The 22718-nt window shown below is 45.2% G+C and overlaps 1 protein-coding gene and 1 pseudogene across 6 annotated transcripts in view, besides 5 other annotated features; both read right to left on the reverse strand.

Moving 5' to 3' along the window:
* TMEM230 (transmembrane protein 230) overlaps positions 1–22718 on the reverse strand; it is a 53961-nt gene that overhangs the window by 17712 nt on the left and 13531 nt on the right. The gene's annotated exons all lie outside the window — the stretch shown is intronic.
* Positions 2090–2159: an enhancer, noted in NCBI's record as "active region_17506". NCBI's record gives its function as "activates an Ori minimal core promoter by ATAC-STARR-seq in GM12878 lymphoblastoid cells {active_cell/tissue: GM12878}" and the evidence as "EXISTENCE:reporter gene assay evidence [ECO:0000049][PMID:35858748]".
* Positions 3665–3824: an enhancer, noted in NCBI's record as "active region_17507". NCBI's record gives its function as "activates an Ori minimal core promoter by ATAC-STARR-seq in GM12878 lymphoblastoid cells {active_cell/tissue: GM12878}" and the evidence as "EXISTENCE:reporter gene assay evidence [ECO:0000049][PMID:35858748]".
* Positions 4945–5445: an enhancer, noted in NCBI's record as "H3K4me1 hESC enhancer chr20:5062418-5062918 (GRCh37/hg19 assembly coordinates)". NCBI's record gives its function as "activates a minimal SCP1, AML or CMV promoter by ChIP-STARR-seq in primed H9 embryonic stem cells {active_cell/tissue: H9 hESC(primed)}" and the evidence as "EXISTENCE:reporter gene assay evidence [ECO:0000049][PMID:30033119]".
* Positions 13405–13464: an enhancer, noted in NCBI's record as "active region_17508". NCBI's record gives its function as "activates an Ori minimal core promoter by ATAC-STARR-seq in GM12878 lymphoblastoid cells {active_cell/tissue: GM12878}" and the evidence as "EXISTENCE:reporter gene assay evidence [ECO:0000049][PMID:35858748]".
* Positions 13475–13524: an enhancer, noted in NCBI's record as "active region_17509". NCBI's record gives its function as "activates an Ori minimal core promoter by ATAC-STARR-seq in GM12878 lymphoblastoid cells {active_cell/tissue: GM12878}" and the evidence as "EXISTENCE:reporter gene assay evidence [ECO:0000049][PMID:35858748]".
* RNA5SP474 (RNA, 5S ribosomal pseudogene 474) lies at positions 21560–21649 on the reverse strand (annotated as a pseudogene).

Here is a 22718-nt window from a genome sequence, read left to right on the forward strand (position 1 = left end):
CCACTACACCTGGCTAATTTTTGTATTTTTAGTACAGACGGGGTTTCGCCATGTTGGCCAGGCTAGACTCGAACTCCTGACCTCAGGTGATCCACCCACCTTGGCCTCTCAAAGTGCTGGGATTACAGGTGTGAGCCACCATGCCCAGTCAATTGATATTCTTTAAATTCATTCATACATTCTTTCAACAAATATTGGCAGAGTGCAGTGGCTCACACCTGTAATCCCAGCACTTTGAGAGGCCAAGGCAGGAGGATTGCTTGAGCCCAGGAGTTCGAGATCAGCCTGGGCAACATAGTGAGACCCCATCTCTACAAAAAACAAACAAAATTAGCTGAACATGGTGGCATGTGCCTGTAGTCCCAGCTACTCGGGAAACTGAGGTGGGAGGGTCATTTGAGCTCAGGAAAGTAGAGGCTGCAGTGAGCTGAGATTGTGCCACTGCACTCCAGCCTAGGCAACAGAGCAAGACCCTGTCTCAAAAACAAAACAAAACAAAACAAAAACCAAACATTTACTGAGTCCCAGCTATCTGACAGGCTATCCTAAATGTTGAGGTTACACAGTGACCAAAATAGACAAAAATCTGGTCCTTGGCCTGGTGTGGTGGCTGACGCCTGTAATCCCAACATTTTGGGAGGTGGGTGGATCACCTGAGGTCAGGAGTTCCAGACCAGCCTGGTCAACATGGCAAAATCCCGTCTCTACTAAAAATACAAAAATTAACTGGGCATGGTGGCGCACACCTGTAATCCCAGCACTTTGGGGGGCTGAGGTGGGTGGATCACTTGAGGTCAGGAGTTCAAGACCAGCTTGACCAATATGGTGAAACTCCATCTCTACTGAAAATACAAAAATTAGCAGGGTGTGGTGGCAGGCGCCTGTAGTCCCAGCTACTTGGGTAGTTGAGGCAGGAGAATCACTTGAACCTGGGAGGCAGAGGTTGCAGTGAGCTGAGATTGCAACAGCGCACTCCAACCTGGGCAAGAGAGCAAGACTCAACTAAAAAAAAAAAAATCTGTGCCCTTGTGGATTCCATCTTACTAGGGGAAATACTTGTAAGTAAGATAAATTTGTGAAATATATACTATGATGGTAGTGAGTATTAAGGAGAAAAATGAATCAGGATCAGAGATAAGTAGCATGGGGCCTGGGGGCTTAGCTTCACTGAGGTGATATTTGTATCAACACTTCATGAATGACACACAGACATCAACCTCACTGCCCCATGGAAGTATAATCTGAGGCAGAGCAGTAGAAACTGGCTCAGGAGAAAAGGGAGGATGCAGACATGTCAATTAGACACAGCCAAAGATGCTTCATGATTTCCTGGGTGTGTGACCTGTGTAGACGCCCAGGGACCCATGCTTAGAGGGACTCTGTGCTTGATTTAATGCTCTGCTGTCACCCTCTTGAAGTTTTTAATCAGTTTTTAAACAAGGGACTGCGCATTTTCATTTGGCACTGGGCCCCACAAGTTACAAGTTATGTAGCCGGTCCTTCACTCTGTTGAATAAACAATGGCTTCTCCCTATCACCCTCTTTGGAAGCACAGATACTCCCAGCAAATGCTAATCATTCATGTTTCTAATTTCCTGGGGTGACTTGTTTTTCCTCTAACAGGTGTGAAGTATGAGATAGAGACTGTATCATCCAGGGTAGGCTGGGATATGCTGCATGACAGAAACCCCCAAATCTAGTGGCTTAACACAACAAAGGTGTACTTCACTCTCGCACTTTGTGTTCATTATGGGTCAACGCGGGGCTCTGTTGTGCATCACGATCACTCTAGGACCGTGGCAGAGGGAAAGTGAAACTGGCGGTTAGAGCCGCTACTCAGAAATGACACATATTGCTTGAACTCACATTTCCTCGCCAAGGCAAGTCATGTGGCGACGCCCTCCTTTAAGAGATGAGGAAGTTCAATCCAAACATGAGCCCACAGAACTGGGCCACTTGTCTTTTGGTGTGTTTTTTTGAGACACAGACTCTTGCTCTGTTGCCCAGGCTGGACTGCAGTGGTGTGATCATGGTTCCCTGCAGCCTCAACCTCCTGGCCTCGAGCAATCCTCCTGCCTCAGCCTTCCAAGTAGCTGGGACTACAAGCATGCACCAATGGGCCCAGCCTACATTTGTTAATTAGTTATTCCAACACTATTTATTAAACAAGCTATCCTTTCTCTGGTGATTTTAATTGCCCATTTATCACATACAAAATTTTGCTGATATTTGTGACTCTTTTTGCATAGTGTTTCTGTTCCATTGATTTTTCTTTCAATGCCTATGCAGAATCACCCTGTTTTAATTTCTGTAGGTTTATAATGCCATTTTATTTTATTGTTTTAGAGACAGGGTCTTGCCATGTTGCCCAGGCTGGCCTTGATCTCCTGGGTTCAAGGAATCCTCCTGCCTCAGCCTTCTGAGTAGCGGGACTACAGGCACAAGACAGCATGCCTGATTTGTAATGTCATTTAATATCAAAGAGGTTAAGTATTCTCAAGTTTCCCCTTTGACTTTTCCTTGGCTATTATATTAATCTTTTATTTCTAGATAGATTTCAGAACCACTTTGTTGAATTCCCCCACTCCTTCTATGTGATTTTGATTAGAATGGAATTGCATTTGTAGATGAATTTGCATTTCTTTATAATATTGAGACTTTAGGTTTTTGTTTTGTTTTTAGAGACAGCTTGCTCTGTCACCGAGGCTGGAGTGCAATGGCACAATCATAGATCACTACAGCCTCCAACTCCTGAGCTCAAGTCATCTTCCCACCTCAGCTGGGACTACAGGTGCATGCCACTGCACCCAGCTTTTACTAGTGTAATGAAATAATCTTTCCATCTCCTGGGAGAATGGTCACTCACGACTGAAATTCACTGAAATTTTTAAAAAAGAAGAAAAAAAAATTGGAAAGCCTTATTTTCTCTCTCTCCTTTCTTTTTTGAGACAGGGTCTTGCTCTGTTGTCCAGGCTGGAGTGCAGAGGTGCGATCCTGGCTCACTGCAACCTCTGCCTCCCAGGCTGAGGTGATCCTCCTGCCTCAGCTTCCCGAGTAGCTGGGACTACAGGTATGCACCCCCATACCTGGCTAACTTTTGTATTTTTAGTTTAAAAAACTGCATAGTTTTTGTTTGTTTGAAAAAAATCATTACATCTTACTGAGATACTTAAGAAGATTATTTTATAAAACTAATAAAAGCTGGGTTACTATCTTCAGTAACTTTCTATTAATTTGATCTTCAAGTATTTTGTTTTATAGTTATTGTGAATGAGACAATGTTCCTAAATGTTATTCTAGTAGAGTAGAAGTTCTCTCAATTTTGATATTATTTGTAATCATCTATCCTGCTGCTAAGCTCTCTTATTAGTGCAAACAGCTTTTTGAAAAAATCTCTGTGTCCTTAATGTAGACGCCGGAAAATAAAGAAGAAAAATCCTCTTGGTTTTTGTAAGTTGCAATTAATGTGTTCACAAATTATGATTAGTTGCTCATCTTTGTTTCTTTCCTTTTTCTTTTTGTACCAGTTTCATACTTCTCATTTCTACAGCAAGACTGAAAGTTGCTGTGTTAACTGATACAATTTAATTTCTACTGTCTTCTGTGACCCCATGACTGCTTCTCTCCAGCCTGGCAGCAGCTAGCGTGTTCAGTGCCTACTGGCTTAGGGAAGGAATGACACAGCAGAATGTAGAAAAAGGAAGTCAAGTTCTTGAAATTTTTAGTTTCTAAAGTCTTTCTGTCTTTTTTTTTTTTTGAAATGGAGTCTCAGTCTATTGCCCAAGCTGGAGTGCAGTGGCGCAATCTCGGCTCACCACAACCTCTGCCTCCCGGATTCAAGTGATTCTCCCGCCTCAGCCTCCTTAATAGCTGGGTCTACAGGCATGCGCCACCACGCCAGGCTAATTTTCACCATGTTGCCCAGGCTGGTCTCGAACTCCTGGCCTCAGGCGATCCACTCACCTTGGCCTCCCAAAGCTGGGATTGTAGGCATGAGCCACTGCACCCAGCCATCTTTCTCAGACTTGAAATAGCAGATGAGGCGAGTGACACTCTATACCAGGTTACACACTGTGGCCCCTGGACCCCTGCTGATCCATGAACTGTCTGTTACTGTCCATGATGAGTTAAGTACAGATATTGAGAACAAACATTTAGCAGCTGTTACAGCAATATGATGTTGTCACAATATCCAAGTGCATGATTGGCAGACTCATTTCATTCAACAGTGTACAGGCCAAAAAGATTAATTCATGACAATTGGAAATAAAACAAAACTGGTCTTCCATCATAGATTGTTTGATAAGTGCTTCTTTAACTAGAAGTCTCTAGATGCAGAGAAAGAGGAGAATTAGAGAGAAGCATGTGGGTTTGAATCTGAGATGTGTCCCTGCATCTTATCCCCTCCCCTAGAAGCCCAAAAAACTGCTGTAAGTGGGCGGTGGGGGATGGAAGGGGCGAGCTGCCAGCAGGAGAACAAGAGATATCCTTGACAAGCCAGAAAGCTGGAATCGGAAGGGACCCATGCCCTTTTTCTAAGTAGAGTCTGGGAAGTGGCAAGACAGTGAAAAGGCTATGGGCACAGCAGGGGAGCTGGGTCTGGCAGCCCACATGGTTCTCACGCACCCCGGCGGAGCAGCAGAACAATTTGATGTGTGTCCAGAAGGAGCCCAAAGGTAGCAAAGAACCTTGAACACTCCCACGAAGTAGGCACACACGCCACCTAAAGCTCCCACATGCCCAAATGGGGTGCAGAAGGAGCTAAGAGACACAGATCAGAAGAATGTTCATAGCTGAGAACAGGGAACAAAACCACAGCTACCTGTATCACCAGTACCCAAAGCCTAGACAAAACAAAATACATCTTAGCCAGTGTGGACACTCAAGAGTCAGATGATCCTCCTTTCTGGAGGCCTTGACACTAAATGACAGCCCTCCCTGCTTGCTGTCAGAAAGGGGAACACTCTCATTATGACGAGGAGTAAATTTCCATCACCTGGGAGAATGGTCACTCATGTTTGAAATTCACTGATTTTCTTTTTTTTCTTTTTTTTTTTTTTTTTTTAGACAGAGTCTTGCTGTGTCACCCAGGCTGGAGTGCAGTGGTGCAATCTCGGCTCACTACAACCTCTGCCTCTCGGGTTCAAGCAATTCTCCTGCCTCAGCCTCCCGGGTAGCTGGGATTACAGGCACCCACCACCACGCCTGGCTAATTTTTATGTCTTTTTTTTTCTTTTTTAGCAGAGATGTGGTTTCGCCATGTTGGCCAGGCTGGTCTCAAATAGCTGACCTCAGGTGGTCCACCTGCCTCGGCCTCCCAAAGTGCTGGGAGCCACCACGCCCAGCCATTCACTGAAATTTTTTAAAAAGAAGAAGAAAATGGGAAAGCCTTGTTTCTCTCTCTCTTTCTCTCTCTCTCTCTCTCTTTTTCGAGACAGGGTCTTGCTCTGTTGCCCAGGCTGGAGTGCAGAGGCATAATCCCGGCTCACTGCAACCTCTGCCTCCCAGGCTCAGGTGATCCTCCTGCCTCAGCCTCCCAAGTAGCTGGAACTGCAGGTGCATGCCACCATGCCTGGCTAATTTTTGTATTTTTAGTTTTTTAAAAAATAACTACATAGTTTTTGTTTGTTTTGAGACAGAGTCTTGCTCTGTTGCCCAGGCTGGAATGCAGTGGCACGATCTAGGCTCACTGCAACCTCAACCTCCTGGGCTCAAGCAATCCTCCCTATCTCAGCCTCCTGAGTAGCTGGGATTACAGGTGCCCACCACCACACCCAGCTAATTTTTGTACCATTAGTAGAGACAGGGTTTCACCATGTTGGCCAGGATGGTCTCAAACTCCTGACTCTCAAGTGATCCGCTCACCTTGGCCTCCCAAAATGCTGGGATTACAGACTTGAGCCACCATGCCCAGCCTTAAGGAAACCCTTATTTCTTGCAAGGCTATCTGTATATTGACATTCATACCTCCTTTGGCTTTGTTCAATCAAAATGATAGACGTTAGTGGGCATTTTTACCTTGTTTCTGATTTTAATGGGAAGGTATTTGGTATTTTATTATTAGTTATGGCATTTGTGATTAATTCTTCATATTGTTTTTTTTTTTTTTTTCTTTTTCAGATGGAGTTTCACTCTTGTCGCCCAGGCTGTAGTGCAATGGCGCGATCTCGGCTCATTGCAACCTCCACCTCCCGGGTTCAAGCGATTCTCCTGCCTCAGCCTCAAGAGTAGCTGGGATTACAGGCGTGCACCACCACAACTGGCTAATTTTTGTATTTTTAGTAGAGATGGGGTTTCACCACATTGGCCATGCTGGTCTCGAACTCCTGACCTCATATGAGCCGCCTGCCTCAGCTTCCCAAAGTGCTGGGATTACAGGCGTGAGCCACCGCACCCGGCCTAATTCTTCATATACTTGATGATGTTAGGGCCCATCTTTTTGAAGTTGGTTAGGGAGATTTTTTTTTTTTTTTTTTTTTTTTTAGGAGCAGAGGTTTAATAGAAGAAAGAGAAAGAAAAACAGTTCTCTCTCTCTATTGAGAGAGTGGGGACCTCTGAGAGGAAAGACCCAGCTAGGGAGTTTTAATATGCCTTTTTATTAAATCAGGAATAGCTGTCGAATTTTGTCTGATGGTTTTTTGGCTTCTATCAAGAAGAGAGTCATATGATTTTTCTCCTTCAACCTATTAGGGCACTCAAGTACACACAGATTTCCTTAATATACCTTTGACTTTGCCCATTTGTTTTAACCCACAGCTTGGTTTTATCTTATTATAATTTATTTACAATCTTAAAATCAATATTTATAAATGAAGTTGGCATGTACATTTCTTAACACATTCGTTTGGATGGGCTTTGATATAAGCATTCTACTAGGCTTGTTAAATGGACAGTGTTGCTTCTAAACTTTTCTCTTGCTTTAGATTCTAGAATGCCAAATTACCTACAGTCTTTCTTCAATGTTTAGTAGAAAATTTCCATAATATTGTTCAACTAGGTCTGAAAATTTGGAGGCATAAGATCTTTTTCTCTCTCTTTTATTTTAGGTTCAGGGAATACATGTGCAAGTTTGTTACGTGGGTAAATTATGTATCGTGGGGGTTTGGTATACTGACTATTTCGTCACCCAGGTAATGAGCATAGTACCTGAAAGGTAGTTTTTTGATCCTCACCCTCCTCCCACTCTCCACCATCAAGTAGGCCTCGGTGTCAACTGTTCCCTTCTTTGTACCCACGTGTGCTGAAGGTTTAGCTCCTGCTTGTAATAAGTGAGAATGTGTGGTATTTGGTTTTCTGTTCCTGCGTTAATTCATTTAGGATAATGGCCTTCGGGTCCATCTGTGTTGTTGCAAAGAACACGATCTTATTCTTTTTATGGCTGCATAATATTCTATTTTAATTTTTTTTTTTTTTTGAGACGGAGTCTTGCTCTCTCACCCAGGCTGGAGTGTAGTGGCACAATCTCGGCTCACTGCAACCTCCACCTCTTGGGTTCAAGAGATTCTCCTGCCTCAGCCCCCTGAGTAACTGGGACTACAGGCGTACGCCACCACGCCTGGCTAATTTTTGTATTTTTAGTAGAGACGGGGTTTCACCATATTGGTCAGGCTGGTCTTGAACTCCTGACCTCGTGATCCACCCACCTCAGCCTCCCAAAGTTCTGGGATTACAGGCATGAGCCACTGCGCCCGTCTTCTATTTTAATTTTTATTATTATTGTTTTTTGAGATGGAGTCTTGCTCTGTTGCCCAGGCTGGAGTGCAGTGGCGCAATCTCTGCTCACTGCAACCTCCGCTTCCTGGGTTCAAGCGATTCTCTCCCTCAGCCTCCTGAGTAGCTGGAACTACAGGCGTGTGCCACCACAGCCAGCTAATTTTTGTATTTTTAGTAGAGATGGGGTTTCACCATGTTGGCCAGGCCAGTCTCAAACTCCTGACCTCAGGTAATCTGCCTGCCTCGGCCTCCCAAAGTGTTGGGATTACAGGCGTGAGCCACTGCGTCTGGCCCCATAATATTCCACGTTGTATATGTACCACGTTTTCTTTATCCAGGCCACTGTTGATGCAACATAACATCTCTGGTGACTCTTTTCCCATCCTCCAGAGTTAGCTGGTTTATTCCAATTTTCTATTTCTTCCTGAGTCAATTTTAGTAATTTATATTTTATTTTTAAAATAGTCCATTTCATTTATTTTTAAAAAGTCCACTTCATTTCCATTTTTTAACTCACACACAAGGTTGTACCTAATATCCTGTTACCTGAAAGTTTATCCCTGAATCCAGAATTTCATCTGAAGGCTGTATTCTTGGACTCCAGATTGCCACCTACAACATCCTCTCTGATCTCACCGTAGGTACAAACCTTCTTTTTGTACAAGTTTCTCCTGTTGCAGGTAGCAACTCTCCTCCAATTCTCCTGTTCCATTTTTTTTTTCATGCTCCTGAATCTTTTTTTGTTTTTCTTTTTTTCTTTTTTTTTGAGACAGAGTCTCACTCTGTCACCCAGGCTGGAGTGCAGTGGCACAATCTCAGCTCACTGCAACCTCTGCCTCCTGGATTCAAATAATTCTCATGCCTCAGCCTTCTGAGTAGCTGGAATTACAGGCATGCGCCACCATGCCCTGCTAATTTTTGTATGTTTAGTAGAGACAGGGTTTCACCATGGTGGCCAGGCTGGTCTCAAACTTCTCACCTCAAGTGACCTGCTCGCCTCGGCCTCCCAAAGTGCTGAGATTACAGTGAGCCACTGCGCCTGGCTTCCTGAATCTTTTCATGAGCCAAGTTCCTCTTTACATCTTTACCCAAAGGAGCCTGTTTTTCTCTGGTGTCAGGAGTTGTGATATGGGTTTCCTGTTCTAATCTTGTAGTCCCAGACAAAAAAAAGCCATACTTTATTTGGGCTTATTTACCAGATTTAGATGATGAGCTGAGAGTGAAGAGAAGGGCTGGACCCCCAGCTAGGGTAGGGGACGGGAGGCCAGGCTCTTTTCCATGACATAAAGGACTCTCCAATATCTCACCTGCCTGCATCCTCTCCCAAGGCCCCTCGTGTTACAACCTCTTAGCCATAAGAAAGCAGGTGGTTGTCAGGCCATACCTGCCGTGTCACCTCTCACAGGTGCTCCTCTCACAGGCTGCTCCATCAGTCCAGATGCCCACGTCATGCTTCTTGACTTGGGTAGTACATCCTTGAACTTCCACTTTTATAATTTAAGCTATACATTTAGGTTCATGTGCTTTTCCATGTATGTATTATAGTTCACAATGAAAAGGGTTTTAATATGCAGCTGGGTGCGGTGGCTCGTGCCTGTAATCCCAGCACTTTGGGAGGCCAAGGTGGGAGGATCACTTGAGCAGGAGTTTGAGACCAGCCTGGGCAACATAGTGAGACCTCATTTCTATTAAAAAAAAAAAAAAAAAAAAGTATTGGCCAGCCACGGTGGCTCACGCCTGTAATCCCAGCACTTTGGGAGGCTGAGGCGGGTGGATCACTTGAGGTCAGGAGTTCAAAACCAGCCTGGCCAACATGGTGAAGCCCCATCTCTACTAAAAATACAAAAAATTAGCCAGGCGTGGTGGCGTGCGCCTGTAGTCCCAGCTGCTTGGGAGGCTAAGGCTGGAGGATGGCATGAACCCGGGAGGCGCAGCTTGCAGTAAGACGAGATCACGCCACTGCACTCCAGCCTGGGCAACAGAGCCAGACTCTGTCTCAAAAAAAAAAAAAAAAAAAAGAAGAAAAAGAAAAAAAAGTATCTGTATATATTTTTATATATGCTTTTTTTTCTGGAAGAATACAATGACAGATTGTTAATATGGAGTCTTTAATATTTTGCTTACTATAATTCCATATTTAAATAAACAATTATTTATCTTTTTATCTTTTTTTTTTTGAGGTAGGGTCTTGCTCTGTTGCTCAGAGTGGAGTACAGTGGCACAATCACAACTCACTGTAGCCTCAACCTTCTAGCCTCAAGCAATCCTCCCACCTCAGCCTCCCAAGTAGCTGGGACTACAGATGCACACTGCCACGCCTGGCTAATTTCTTATTTGTTTAGTTATTTTTTTGACACAGAGTCCCACTCTGTCCCCCAGGCTGAGTGCAGTGGTGTGACCATGGCTCATTGGAGCCTCGACCTCCCAGGCTCAAGCAATCATCCCGCCTCAGCCTTCCAAGTCGCTGGGACTTCAGGCATGCACCACCATGCTCAGCTAATTTTTGATTTTTTTGTAGAGATGAGGTCTTGCTATTTTGCCCAGGCTGGTCTCGAACTCACAGATGCAAGCAATCCTCCTGCCTCAGCCTCACAAAGTGCTGGGATTATAGGCATGAGCCGCCATGGCCGGCCAACAATTATTTTTCAAAGTCTGGAAGATGACAGGAAAACCCAAGACTGACCCTAGAAGACAGAGACACCATCACGGCCTCAGCTGTGTCCAGATTTCAACATGTAGCTGTTTCCCTCCTAGACAACAACCTTCCTTTCCAGCCTTCACTCCAAAGTATCAATTACTCACAGGGTTTTAAACTTTGGGACCTGATCATTGCTAGGTCTTTGCCAGGCTTTGTACACTCCAGGTGCTTTCCAGATTTAGATGATGAGCTGAGAGTGAAGAGAAGGGCTGGTCCCCCAGCTAAGGTAGGGGATGGGAGTAAGGAAGGAGTAAGAGGACATATTTTTTTTTTTGAGACAGAGTCTCATTCTGTCTCACAGGCTGGAATGCAGTGGTACAATCTACAACCTCTACCTCCTCTCCCCTGGCCTGGGTAGAGCCTGGCTTCCTGTCCCCTACCCTAGCTGGGGGTCCAGCCCTTCTCTTCACTCTCAGCTTATCACCTAAATCTGGTAAATAGGCCAAAGAAAGTATGGCTTTTTTTTTTTTTTTTTTTTTTCCTGGGACTAGAAGATTAGAATAGGAAATCCATATCACAACTCCTGACACCAGAGAAAAACAAGCTCCTTTGGGTAAAGATGAGAAGAGGCATTCGGTGGAGTAGCTGGGATTACAGGCGTGTACCACCACGCCTGGCTAATTTTTATATTTGTAGTAGAGATGGGGTTTCAACATGTTGGCCAGGTGAGTCTCAAACTCCTGGCCTCAAGTGATCTGCCCGCGGTGGCCTCCCAAAGTGCTGGGATTACGGGCATGAGCCACCACACCCAGCCAGGATATACCTAAAAAAAAAAAAAAAAGTTTCAAGGCCAAGCATGGTGGCTCACGCCTGTAATCCCAGCACTTTGGGAGGCCAAGGTGGGCGGATTGCCTGAGGTCAGGAGTTTGAAACCAGCCTGGCCAACATGGTGAAACCCCATCTCTACTAAAAATACAAAAACTAGCCTGGCGTGGTGGCGCATGCCTGTAATCCCAGCTACTCTGGAGGCTGACACAGGAGAATTGCTTGAACCCGGGAGGCAGAGCTTGCAGTGAGCCGAGGTCGTGCCACTGTACTCCAGCCTGGGCAACGGAGGGAGACTCTGTCTCAAAAAAAAAAAAAAAAAAAAGGTTTCAAACACAATTAATTCAAACCAACCTCCCTTAAAAGGGAAAAAAAGCCAGCATTTTCCACGGGAGACAGAGATTTGAAAAATGAAGCTGTGTTCGTGTCTCCTAACTCAGCTAGGTCAGCAGAAGGGTGGGCAATGGGGAAGCAATCAGGTGGTTTTTTTAATCCTCCTGCCTCAGCCTCCCAAAGTGCTGGGATTATAGGCATGAGCCTACTGCACTCACCTGGCTAGAGTGCGGTAGCATGATCACAGCTGACTGCAGTCTCCACCTCCTGGGCTCAAGGATCCTCCCATCTTAGCTCCCTGAGTATCTGGGACCACTGGCACATGCCACCATGCCTGGCTTAATTAAAAAAAATTTTTTTGTAGATGGGGTCTCACTATGTTACCCAGGCTGGTTTCAAACTCCTGAGCTCAAGAGATCCTCCCACCTCAGCCTCCCAAAGTGCTGATATTACAGGCGTGAGCCACCATGCCCAACCCAGAACCAGGTTTAATAACTGTAGAGGAGGCAACGGTGATAGGCAGTCTAAGCAGCAGGTGGAATGATACTGTTAAATGACATCAAGTTCATCTGAGTGTGGGTGGGAACTTAGTATAATAGATTTTAAAGGGATCACTCTGACTGCTGTGCTGATAAGTGACTATTTTATGTTGATAATATACTGAGATAAAAATGTTATGGTCACGAAATAAAAACTGATTGCTGTAAAATGTGAAAAAGGGTCCTTGGACATTAAAACCATGATAGCAAGTAACAGAGCTGGGTGTGGTGGCTCACGCCTGCAATCCCAGCACTTTGCAGGGCCGAAGCAGGCAGATCACGAGGTCAGAAGATCAAGACCATCCTGGCTAACACGGTGAAACCCTGTCTCTACTAAAAATACAAAAAAATTAGCCGGGCGTGGTGGCACGCACCTATAGTCCCAGCTATTAGGGAGACTGAGGCAGGAGAATCGCTTGAACCTGGGAGGCGGGGGTTGCAGTGAGCCAAGATCACCCCACTGCATTCCAGCTTGGGCAACAGAGCGAGAATCTGTTCCAAAAAAAAAAAGAAAAGAAAAAAATAGTAACAGAAGAGTAGAAGGCTGGGTATAGTGGCTCATGCCTGTAATCCCAGCACTTTGGGAGGCCGTGGTGGGAAGATCACTTTGAGGCCAGTAGTTTGAGACCAGCCTGATCAACATGGCAAAACCCCGTCTCCACTAAAAATACAAAAATTATCTGGGTGTGGTGGCACAGGCTTGTAATCCCAGCTACTTGGGAGGCTTAGGCAGGAGAATTGCTTAAGCCTGTGAGGCAAAGGCTGCAATGAGCTGAGATCGCCCCACTGCACTCCAGCCTGGGCAACAGAGTGAGACTCTGTCTTAAAAAAGGAAAAACAAAAACAAAAAACAGTAGTGGAAAGTATAACAGAGGGCTGCACAGTGGCTCATGCCTGTAATCCAGCACTTTGGGAGGACGAGACCTGAGGTCAGGAGTTCGAGACCAGCCTGGCCAACAGGGCAAAACCCCATCTCTAGTAAACAATACAAAAATTAGCCAGGCATGGTGGCACGTGCCTGTAATCCCAGCTACTTGGGAGGCTGAGGCAGGATAATCGCTTGAACCTGGGGGGCGGAGGTTGCAGTGGGCTATCGTGCCACTGCACTCCTCCCTGGGTGGCAGAAGACTCCATCTCAAAAAAGAAAAGAAAAGAAAAGATGACAGAGGAGTTGAAAGAAAAAAACTGAGGAAATCTTCCACAAAGGAGATCAAAAAGACAAAATATGGAAAAGAGACAAAAATATGAAAAATAGAAAAGGACTGACATCTAATGAAAAAATTCCAGAAATAGGAAACCAAGGTATGAGTGAAATAAATTATCAAATAAATTAATTTCAGAAAATTCCCTAACACTAAAGGACATGAGTTTCCAGACTGAAAGGGCCAAGAGCACCTGGCACAATGGGTAATGGGTGCTGAATAGAAATAGGCCAACAGCAGGACATGCATTGTGAAATTTCAGAACACTGAAGACAATTCTACAAGCATCGAGAGAGAAAAATGACGACAAAGGAGGAACCAAGAATCAGAAGTCACGCAGGAAGCCAGAAGGCACTACAGTCACTTCCTCCCCTCAGAGGGACAATGGGCAGGAAGAGGACAGGGCAGCAGCCTCCTTTATGGAGAGAGTTCTTTCAGATGAAACGGATGGGAGACTAGGGGATATATACAAATGGGGTCAGTTTGGGCTTAACTAGAGACAGATACATAGAAAATCATGCAAATAAACATGATTATTAACTCCAATGAGAAACTAAAAGTTGTGTCAGAAGGAAAAGAAGTCATACTAAGTGTTCTGGTTCAGCTATGAATAGCGTTTGTGTATCCTTAGCAATATCAATATTAATATTGATCCAACCAAAATGACACAATTATATGGACAAATGGAGGGACTGAAAGCACGTGTCTGCGATGAAGGATGACCAAAGAGCAGCCCAATCTGCACCACTAGATATAGTCAATTGATAAGGCCTAATACTGAACAATTGTGAAATGGTAATAAAAATATTTCACATGGAAATGAAAGTTAATACTAAAATATTCATCTGGAAGAACTGAAGGTGGTTGTCTCTTGGAGAGAAAGGAAAGAGGGGTTGCCAAGAACTACTGATTTTCATGATAAGCCTTGTTGAATTTTTTTTTAGGCAGGGTCTCGCTGTCACCCAGGCTGAAGTGCAGTGGCGAGATCATGGCTCACTGCCGCCTTGAACTCGTGGACTCAAGCGAACCTCCCACTTCAGCCTCCCAAGTAGCTGGGACTACAGGTATGGGTCACAGAGCCCAGCTAATTTTTTTATTCTTTGTAAGGATTTTTGTTGTTGTTGTTATTTTGTTACTGTTTTACTGTTTTTTGTTTTTTTGAGATGGAGCTTCGCCCTTGTTGCCCAGGCTGGAGTGCAATGGGCTCACGGCAACCTCTGCCTCCCCGGTTCAAGTGATTCTCCTGCCTTGGCCTTCCAAGTAGCTGGGATTACAGGTATGCATCACTACACCTGGCTAATTTTTGTATTTTTAGTAGAGATGGGGTTTCACCACGTTGGTCAGACTGGTCTTGAACTCCTGACCTCAGGTGATCCACCCACCTCGGCCTCCAAAAGTGCTGGGATTACAGGTGTGAGCCACCGCACCCAGCTGGTATTGCTATTTTTGTTGTTTTTTTTCTCCCAAATATCTTTGATCTGCAGTTGGTTGAATCTACAGATGTGGAACCCAAGGATATGATGGGCTGACTGTACTCATTTATTAATATTACTTATTATATTTGTTCAGTTATTTCAAATATGGATCTATTTCTACATAAGTATATTGCAAACTTCTGGAGGATGGGCATGGTGGACGATTCCTTTTTGATACCTACCAAAGCTATGTCCGTAGTAGATGCCCCCAAAATAATTCATGGATAAACATAAAGGTCAAATTCAAGGTGACTTGATATGCAAAGTTAAGTCAAAGTCTGGAGATAAAAACCAAGGTTAGATTAAAGCTGACACTGTAAATAGTTAAGACATTTGGAGAACCTAAGTACATCAAGACAGAGCTGCATTCAAAGTTCTGTGGTCTACTTTTTTGGTTAATGTTTATTTGTTTTAATGAAGAGATACTTTTGTTCCCAAAGTACTCTCAAGTTTCAAGTTTTGGTGACCTGGGACTTGGTATATAAACGTGAGCTTACTCTGCCAACACCCTATGTGACTTTCGAGACTTTGTGCCTGCCTCCTTTGTTTTCCTAGATTGCAAAGTCGTAATCTCCACACACTGAGATACTGAACTTCTTTTATTGCTGGTCTGATACGATTGACAAGAGAGAGATTAGTTTCTTGTCCCTTGCTGGAGGTGGGGAGATGAAAACACCAGGGAGAAAAATATAGTGGAAGATCATCTTGAGTCGATGTTCAGAATGAGGAGTCCTCGATCCTGGGCCAGCATCAGTCCATGGCGCTTTTGGTCTCACTGTGGTTTCACTCCCCATTAAATGGGGAAAATACTTGGCATTTTCTGACATTCCGGGTTCTACATATGCATATCAGTAAATGTAATACACACGTTAAGAGAAAGGCAGGCCAGGCACGGTGGCTCACGCCTGTAATCCCTGCACTTTGGGAGGCCGACGCAGGCGGATCACCTGAGGTCGGGAGTTCATGACCAGCCTGACCAACATGGAGAAACCCTGTCTCTATTAAAAATACAAAATTAGCCCAGGTGGTGGCACATGCCTGTAATCCCAGCTACTTGGGAGGTTGAGGCAGGAGAATCGCTTGAACCCGGAGGCAGAGGTTGCAGTGAGCTGAGATCGCACCATTGTACTCCAGCCTGGGCAACAAGAGCAAAACTCCGTCTCAAAAAAAAAAAAAAAAAGAGAGAGAGAGAGAATGAAAGGCAAAAATCACATGATCATCTCAATAGATGCAGAAAAGCATTTGAGAAAATCTGACATCCTTTCATGGTAAAAACTCTCAACAAGTTAGGTATAGAAGGAATGTACTTTGATGTACCTTGGAATTTACCTTGCATGACAAATTCGCAGTGAACATACTGAAAGCTCTTCCACTAACACCAGGAACAAGACAAGGATCCCCACTCTCACCACTTATATTTGACATAGTAATGGAAATCCTAGCCAGAGCATTAGGTGAGAAAAAGAAATGACAGGCCTCCAAATTGGAAATGAAGAAGTAAAACTGTCTCTATTTACAGATGGCTGATCTTATATATAGAAAACCCTAAAGACACCACCAAAAACCTGTTAGAACTAAATAAAGTTGTAGGATACAAACGTTAACATATAAAAATCAGTAGTGTTTCTATACATTAACGAAGAACTATTCAAAGAAAAAAAAGAATAAGAAAACCTCCATTTTATTTCCTATTTTATTTTAATTTTGTTATTTTGTAGAGAGAGGGTCTATGTCGCCCAGGCTGGAGTGCAGTGGTGCAATTTTGGCTCACTGCAACCTCCACCTCCTGGGCTCAAGCTATCCTCCCATCTCAGCCTCCTGAGTAACTGGGACTACAGGCACATGCCACCATACCTGGCTAATTTTTTTGTAGAGATGGGGTTTTGCCATGTTGCCCAGGCTGGTCTTGAACTCCTGGGCTCACGCAATCTGCCTGCCTCAGCCTCCCAACGTGCTGGGGTTACAGGCATGAGCCACTGCGCCTGATTTATTTATTTATTTAGAGATGGAGTCTTGCTCTGTCGCCCAGGCTGGAGTGCAGTGGCACCATCTCGGCTCACTGCAACCTCCACCTCCCGGGTTCAAGTGATTCTCATGCCTCAGCCACCCGACTAGCTGGGATTACAGGAGTACACCACCATGCCTGGCTGATTTTTGTATTTTTAGTAGAGACACAGGGTTTGCCATGTTGGCCAGGCTGGTCTTCAGCTCCTGGCTTCAAGTGATGTGACTGCCTTGGCCTCCCAAAGTGCTGGGATTACAGGCATGTGACACTGCACCCAGCCTAAAAGGTCCCATTTATCAAAGCTATATAAAATGTAAAATACTTAGAAATAACTCTGATATCCCAAAACAGGGGAAACTTGGAGCGATCAACAAATCCGATCAGTGAGCTTTTTTTTTCCCCTTTTTCCTTTGTGAGATGGAGTCTCGCTCTGTCGCCCAGGCTGGAGTGCAGTGGCACAATCTTGGCTTGGCTCACTGCAACCTCTGCCTCCCGGGTTCAAGCGATTCTCCTGCCTCAGCCTCCTGAGTAGCTGGGATTACAGGCACGTGCCACCATACCTGGCTAATTTTTGTATTTTTAGTTGAGACGGCGTTTCACCATGGTGCTCAGGCTGGTCTCGAACTTTTGACCTCATGATCCGCCTGCCTCGGCCTCCCAAAGTGCTGGGATTACAGGCGTGAGCCACCGTACCTGGCCTTTTTAAGTGACAAGGTCTCACTCTGTTGCCCAGGCTGGAGTCCAGTGGACCATCACAGGTCACTGTAGCTTCAAACCCTGGGCTCAACTGATCCCATCTCAGCTTCCTGAGTAGCCAGGATTACAGACACACACCACCACACCTGGCTAATTTTTAAAAAAAAATTTTTGGCCAGGCATGGTGGCTCACGCCTGTAATCCCAGTACTTTGGGAGGCTGAGGCGGGAGGATCACGAGGTCAGCAGTTTGAGACCAGCCTGGACAACATGGTAAAACCCCATCTCTACTAAAAATACAAAAATTAGTCAGGCGTGGTGGCACGTGCCTGTAATCCCAACTACTCAGAAGGCTGAGGTAGGAGAATAGCTTGAACATGTGAGGCAGAGGTTGCAGTGAGCTGAGATCCCGCCACGGCACTCCAGCCTGGGACAGAGCTAGACTCCATCTCAAAAAAAAAAAAAAAAAAAAAAAATTTGTACATCTGCTGCCCAGGCTGGTCTCGAACTCTTGGCCTCAAGGGATCCTCCCACCTTGGCCTCCTAAGTAGTTAGGACTACAGTTGCTCGCCACCATGCCCAGTGCCATCAGTAAGCTAAGGCTTACACTTTTCTGATCACAGCTACAGGGACAGCTGGTCTTACTGCCCAGGTTCCTCATGGTCACCTCCTATTTCCTAATGTAAGTCATCTCCTCACAACTACGGGCAAAGGGGCACTGCTTTTCTTCAACTCTACCAGGCCACAGACCCTCCCAGGATGTGCTGGTGATTTTGCTGCTGCCATTAGTTCAGCTGTGGGGCAAAAGCAGCGCGGTGGATGGTGGTCTCAGGGCAAACTCTGTAGACATTAATTCTAGAGAAAACCCTCTGGAAGGATTAGCATCTTAGCCAAGAAACTTTAACCCTCAGGTTGGAGCATTTTCTAGTTGGCTCTTCTTGTGTTAGTGAGAGGAATGAAAGAACGGAGGCATTAGAGACCCACGGATGGAGGCAAGCCAGCACCTCCAGTGTTCGGAGTAAACTCCTGAGGCACCAGGCCTGCCTCCCACAGAAATCGAAAGAAAACCTATCCTGCCTCTCACTGGGTCATAAATTACACATCGTCCCCTTCCCTGAGCCTTCAGGGAACCGAAGCATGTTCCACTCCTGCCACCGACCTTCCTCATCTTTGGGACTCCTGTCTCGATTTCTCACTGATCACAAAAAATGATCTTCACAAAGTCTTCCTGCATTGTTTCTCTGCCATTTCTATGAAGCTTCTGCAGACTTTGGGAGTTACTGTCTTAGCTAGAGAATAATAGTGGATCAAAGAGGACAGACTATACCCTCTAAGTGCCCCCACACCCAGGGCCACCCATTGGCACTGCCTGAGGAGGTCCAGTCTCAAGGTGAGGAGATGGACTAGGAGGGAAACTGGGCCCCCATCAGTCAGCGCTTCTCAGACACTGACATGCAACTAACAGGTAGGGTTCTTGACATACAGGGCTCTTGCTACAATGCAGATACCGATTTAGGAGAGGAGCCCAAGATTCTGCATTTCAAATTTCCCAAGTGATGTTGATGCTGCCGGTCCACAGACCAGACTGCATTTGCATAGCAAGGAGCAAGACTGAGGGGAGGTGAAAAAATAGAGGAAAAACAAGCTCCATGAGAGGCGATCTGATGATGCTCCAGATCTAAAACCTCTTGTCTTCAAGGACTTCCCTGCAGGGCCTTTCACTTTTTCCAGAGGATTGGAGCACACAGCCTTCCAGGCCCAGCCACATGCTGGTAAAGGGCCAGGGGCCTGAGACCTCCTCACACCCTCCGTCAGCAGCTGTCAGGGAGAGGAGCCCTGCCTGGGCTGGCAATCAACCCTCGCTCCTGCCGCTGGCTCTGGGGTGGTTCTGCCATGGAACAGCAGGTTCAAGATGGCAACAGGGTAACAGATGGTCTCTCTTCCCTCCACCTCTGCCTCATCCCAGGCTCTGCTCCCTGAAGCCAAAGCAGTGATCCTCTTTACTTTCTCAAACAGCAGCTTACTTTGTGCCAGGCTGTGTGAACCACCATCTGGAACTGTTTTTATTTAATCCTCACAATCACCTTGTGAGGTAGGAATTGTTCTATCCCCACTTTAGAAGGAAACTGAGGCCCCATCACTGAACTACATACCTGTGAGGCCAGGAGCCTATGGGACTGAATCTAGGAGAGAAGCCTCAGGATAGGAACTTAATGAAAAATCAAGGCAACTAAGGTGCATTGATTGGTATAGGACCCTTCAAAGGTAAGCAGAAAGCCAGTGCTGTTACTGTCCTTCTACCAGGTTCCCTTACCATACACCAGTGGCAGGAGGTTCTCCTGTGCCAGCTGGTACAGGTAGGTCATGAACTGGGCTCCTTGGCCTGGGCAGAGGGTGCCAGGCAGAGGCATGACTGACCAGGCAGCACCAACTGTGTGAAGAGCAGCTGGCCTGCTAGGCAGCTGGTGGAAGGCCATTTAGGAGTCTGACGTAAATGTAGGTAGGTACTTGCCTACCTATCCATACCTCAAAGGAACATGGTGTCCTGGGATGGAAATGCACACGATTCCAGCTCTTCATTTGATAAACCTAAGTGCCCACAAGCACTGTGCTAGGCTTTGTGGGAGGGTTTAAAACACAGTCTTTGCCCTTAGTGAGGAAAATTAGCATGCTGGATATAAAAGAGTGGTGGAAACTTTAGTGAACTGGAGAATGCTACTCAGCTAAAACTTGTACTACCTTACTTTAGTTGGCTGGAGCCTCTCTGCAATGAAGGACTACCTGATTTTTCAAGTCCCAAATCAAGATCATGTGAACATTTCCCTTTTTAGAAACGAAAAGAACTTGGGGATAGGTGGTCAGAAAATAAAATGGAACAATTCAAAAAATAAATCCTCAAACGCAGGCCAACATGTGGCTGCTAGTTTGCAACCTGTGCTCCTCATTACCCCAGTCCTATATTTTCCTGTTGTACCTCCAGCACCTCACAATTCCTGGCAGAACAGAAGTGCCTCTGGTATGACCACGTGAAGCTCAACCAAGAGACCCACCAGAGTGGCAACGGATCTGAAATTTCCATCATATGCAGAACAGCTGAAGCAACTGGAGAGGGTTTTTAGCCTTGGAAATGACTAACAGGAGGCATAAGAGTTGTTGCAAATAAGAACATCCTTTAAAAAAGTTAGGATATATAGTCTGGTCAACACTTTGGAGTGGGGAGGAGGTTACTTTCAGGTAAAATATACATCTGACAACTGACCACGGTTCCCCAACTACTTCTACTGTCCATACCCACCTCCCCCATTTCTTCACTGGCCCAGTACCTAAAAGCATTTGGCTGTCATATCTGGTAAAGGGAATTCAGGCTTTGCCTTATAATTTTTTTTTGTTTTATTATTTTTTTGAGACGGAGTCTCACTCTGTCACCATCTGGAGTGCAGTGGTGTGATCTAGGCTCATTGCAACCTCCACCTCCCGGGTTCAAGTGATTCTCCTGCCTCAGCCTCCTGAGTAGCTGGGATATAGGTGCCCGCCACCACACCCAGCTAATTTTTGTATTTTTAGGCCAGGCTGATCTTGAACTCCTGACCTCAAGTGATCCACCCACCTCGGCCTCCCAAGTGCTGGGATTACAGGCGTGAGCCACCGTACCAGGCCCAGGCTTTAATCCCAAATATCTCACCTACTTCCTACCTAAGAATCTTATCTAACTCAGGATTTTTTTTTTTTTTTTTTTTTTTTTTGAGACGGAGTCTGGCTTTGTTGCCCAGGCTGGAGTGCAGTGGTGCGATCTTGGCTCACCGCAACCTTAGCCTGCCGGGTTCAAGCAATTCTCCTGCCTTAGCCTCCCAAGTAGCTGGGATTACAGGCATGTGTCACCACGCCCAACTAATTTTGTATTTTTAGTAGAGATGGGGTTTCTCCATGTTGGTCAGGACGGTCAAACTCCCAAACTCAGGTGATCCGCCCGCCTCGGGCTCCCAAAGTGCGGGGATTACAGGCATGAGCCACTGTGCCCGGCTAACTCAGGATTTTTCTAAGGATTAAAATGAGATATGTAATGAAAGTATTTGGCAGAATATCTGGCAAAGGGGTCAAGAAATGTTCAACATTATTATGGAGGTTTAGATCTTTTCTCCCGTCCGAGTACTAACCAGGCCTGACCCGGATTAGCTTCCAAGATCAGATGAGGTCGGGAGCATTCAGGGTAGTATGGCCGTAGAGGTTTAGGTCTTTTCTATAAAACACCAAATAATACAACTATGGTCAAAACACAGAAGTTGCAGGGAGTCTGATTTTGGCTTCATAAATGATACTTCTGTAACAATGCCAGCTGGAATGAGATTACAAGTGTGAATGTTCAAACAGAGCAGCAAAGGTCATTCCTCAGGGGACTCTGGAGGAGATTCCTACCCCAGGTAGGAAGTTGGTTGATTTCTGCTCTGATCCTATGACTACTAAATGCATAGTATGAAAAACTACACTTATAATGTGCATTAACAAGAATATGACTGATCTCCATGGATATGGAAAGATATACAAAATAGAATTGGGGGGGGGAAATTATAGAACCATACAATGGGAGCCCAAGTTTTAAAAACCAGATATATATTTATGTGCTTAGAGCATTTCAGGAAGGGTATATTAAGAAATTTATTTGGAAAATCTTGAGAGGTAAGCTGGAGTGAATGTACACTCTCCACTCCATGCCCAAATGTTTACTTTTCACTTTATACCCTTCTGTTTATTTTTTTGACCAGCAGCATCAACTTTTTAAAAAAGGACCAAATAGGCCAGGCTCAGTAGCTCATGCCTATAATCCCAACACTTTGGGAGGCAAAGGTGGGAAGATCACTTGAGCCCAGGAATTCAAGGCTGCAGTGAGAAATGACTGTGCCACTGCACTCCAGCCTGGGCAGTAGAGCAAGACTCTGTCTCAAAATAAATAAATAAATAAATAAATAAATAAATAAATAAATAAATCAATCAATCAATAATAAATAAAAAAACCAAATCATTTGGTTGGCCAAAACCTTCTGATCTGAGCTTTGCTCGGCAACCACTCTCCAAGATAAAGCTTTATGTATCACCTCACATATTCACTGTCAAGGCTCAGGCACTCTAGATTACTGGACTCCCCAGTCAACATTCCCATTACCAAAAGTCCCTAATCTTGGAGGCTGCTTCAGGTCACCCTCTCTTTGTCCCTCACTTCCTGAGTTTTTTTTTTTTCCTCCAACTATACTCACTCTACTGGTGATCTCAAACAGCCCTCTAGCTTTTAAGATACTGT

This window comes from Homo sapiens, chromosome 20 (assembly GCF_000001405.40).
Source record: "Homo sapiens chromosome 20, GRCh38.p14 Primary Assembly".
Lineage (NCBI taxonomy): Eukaryota > Metazoa > Chordata > Mammalia > Primates > Hominidae > Homo > Homo sapiens.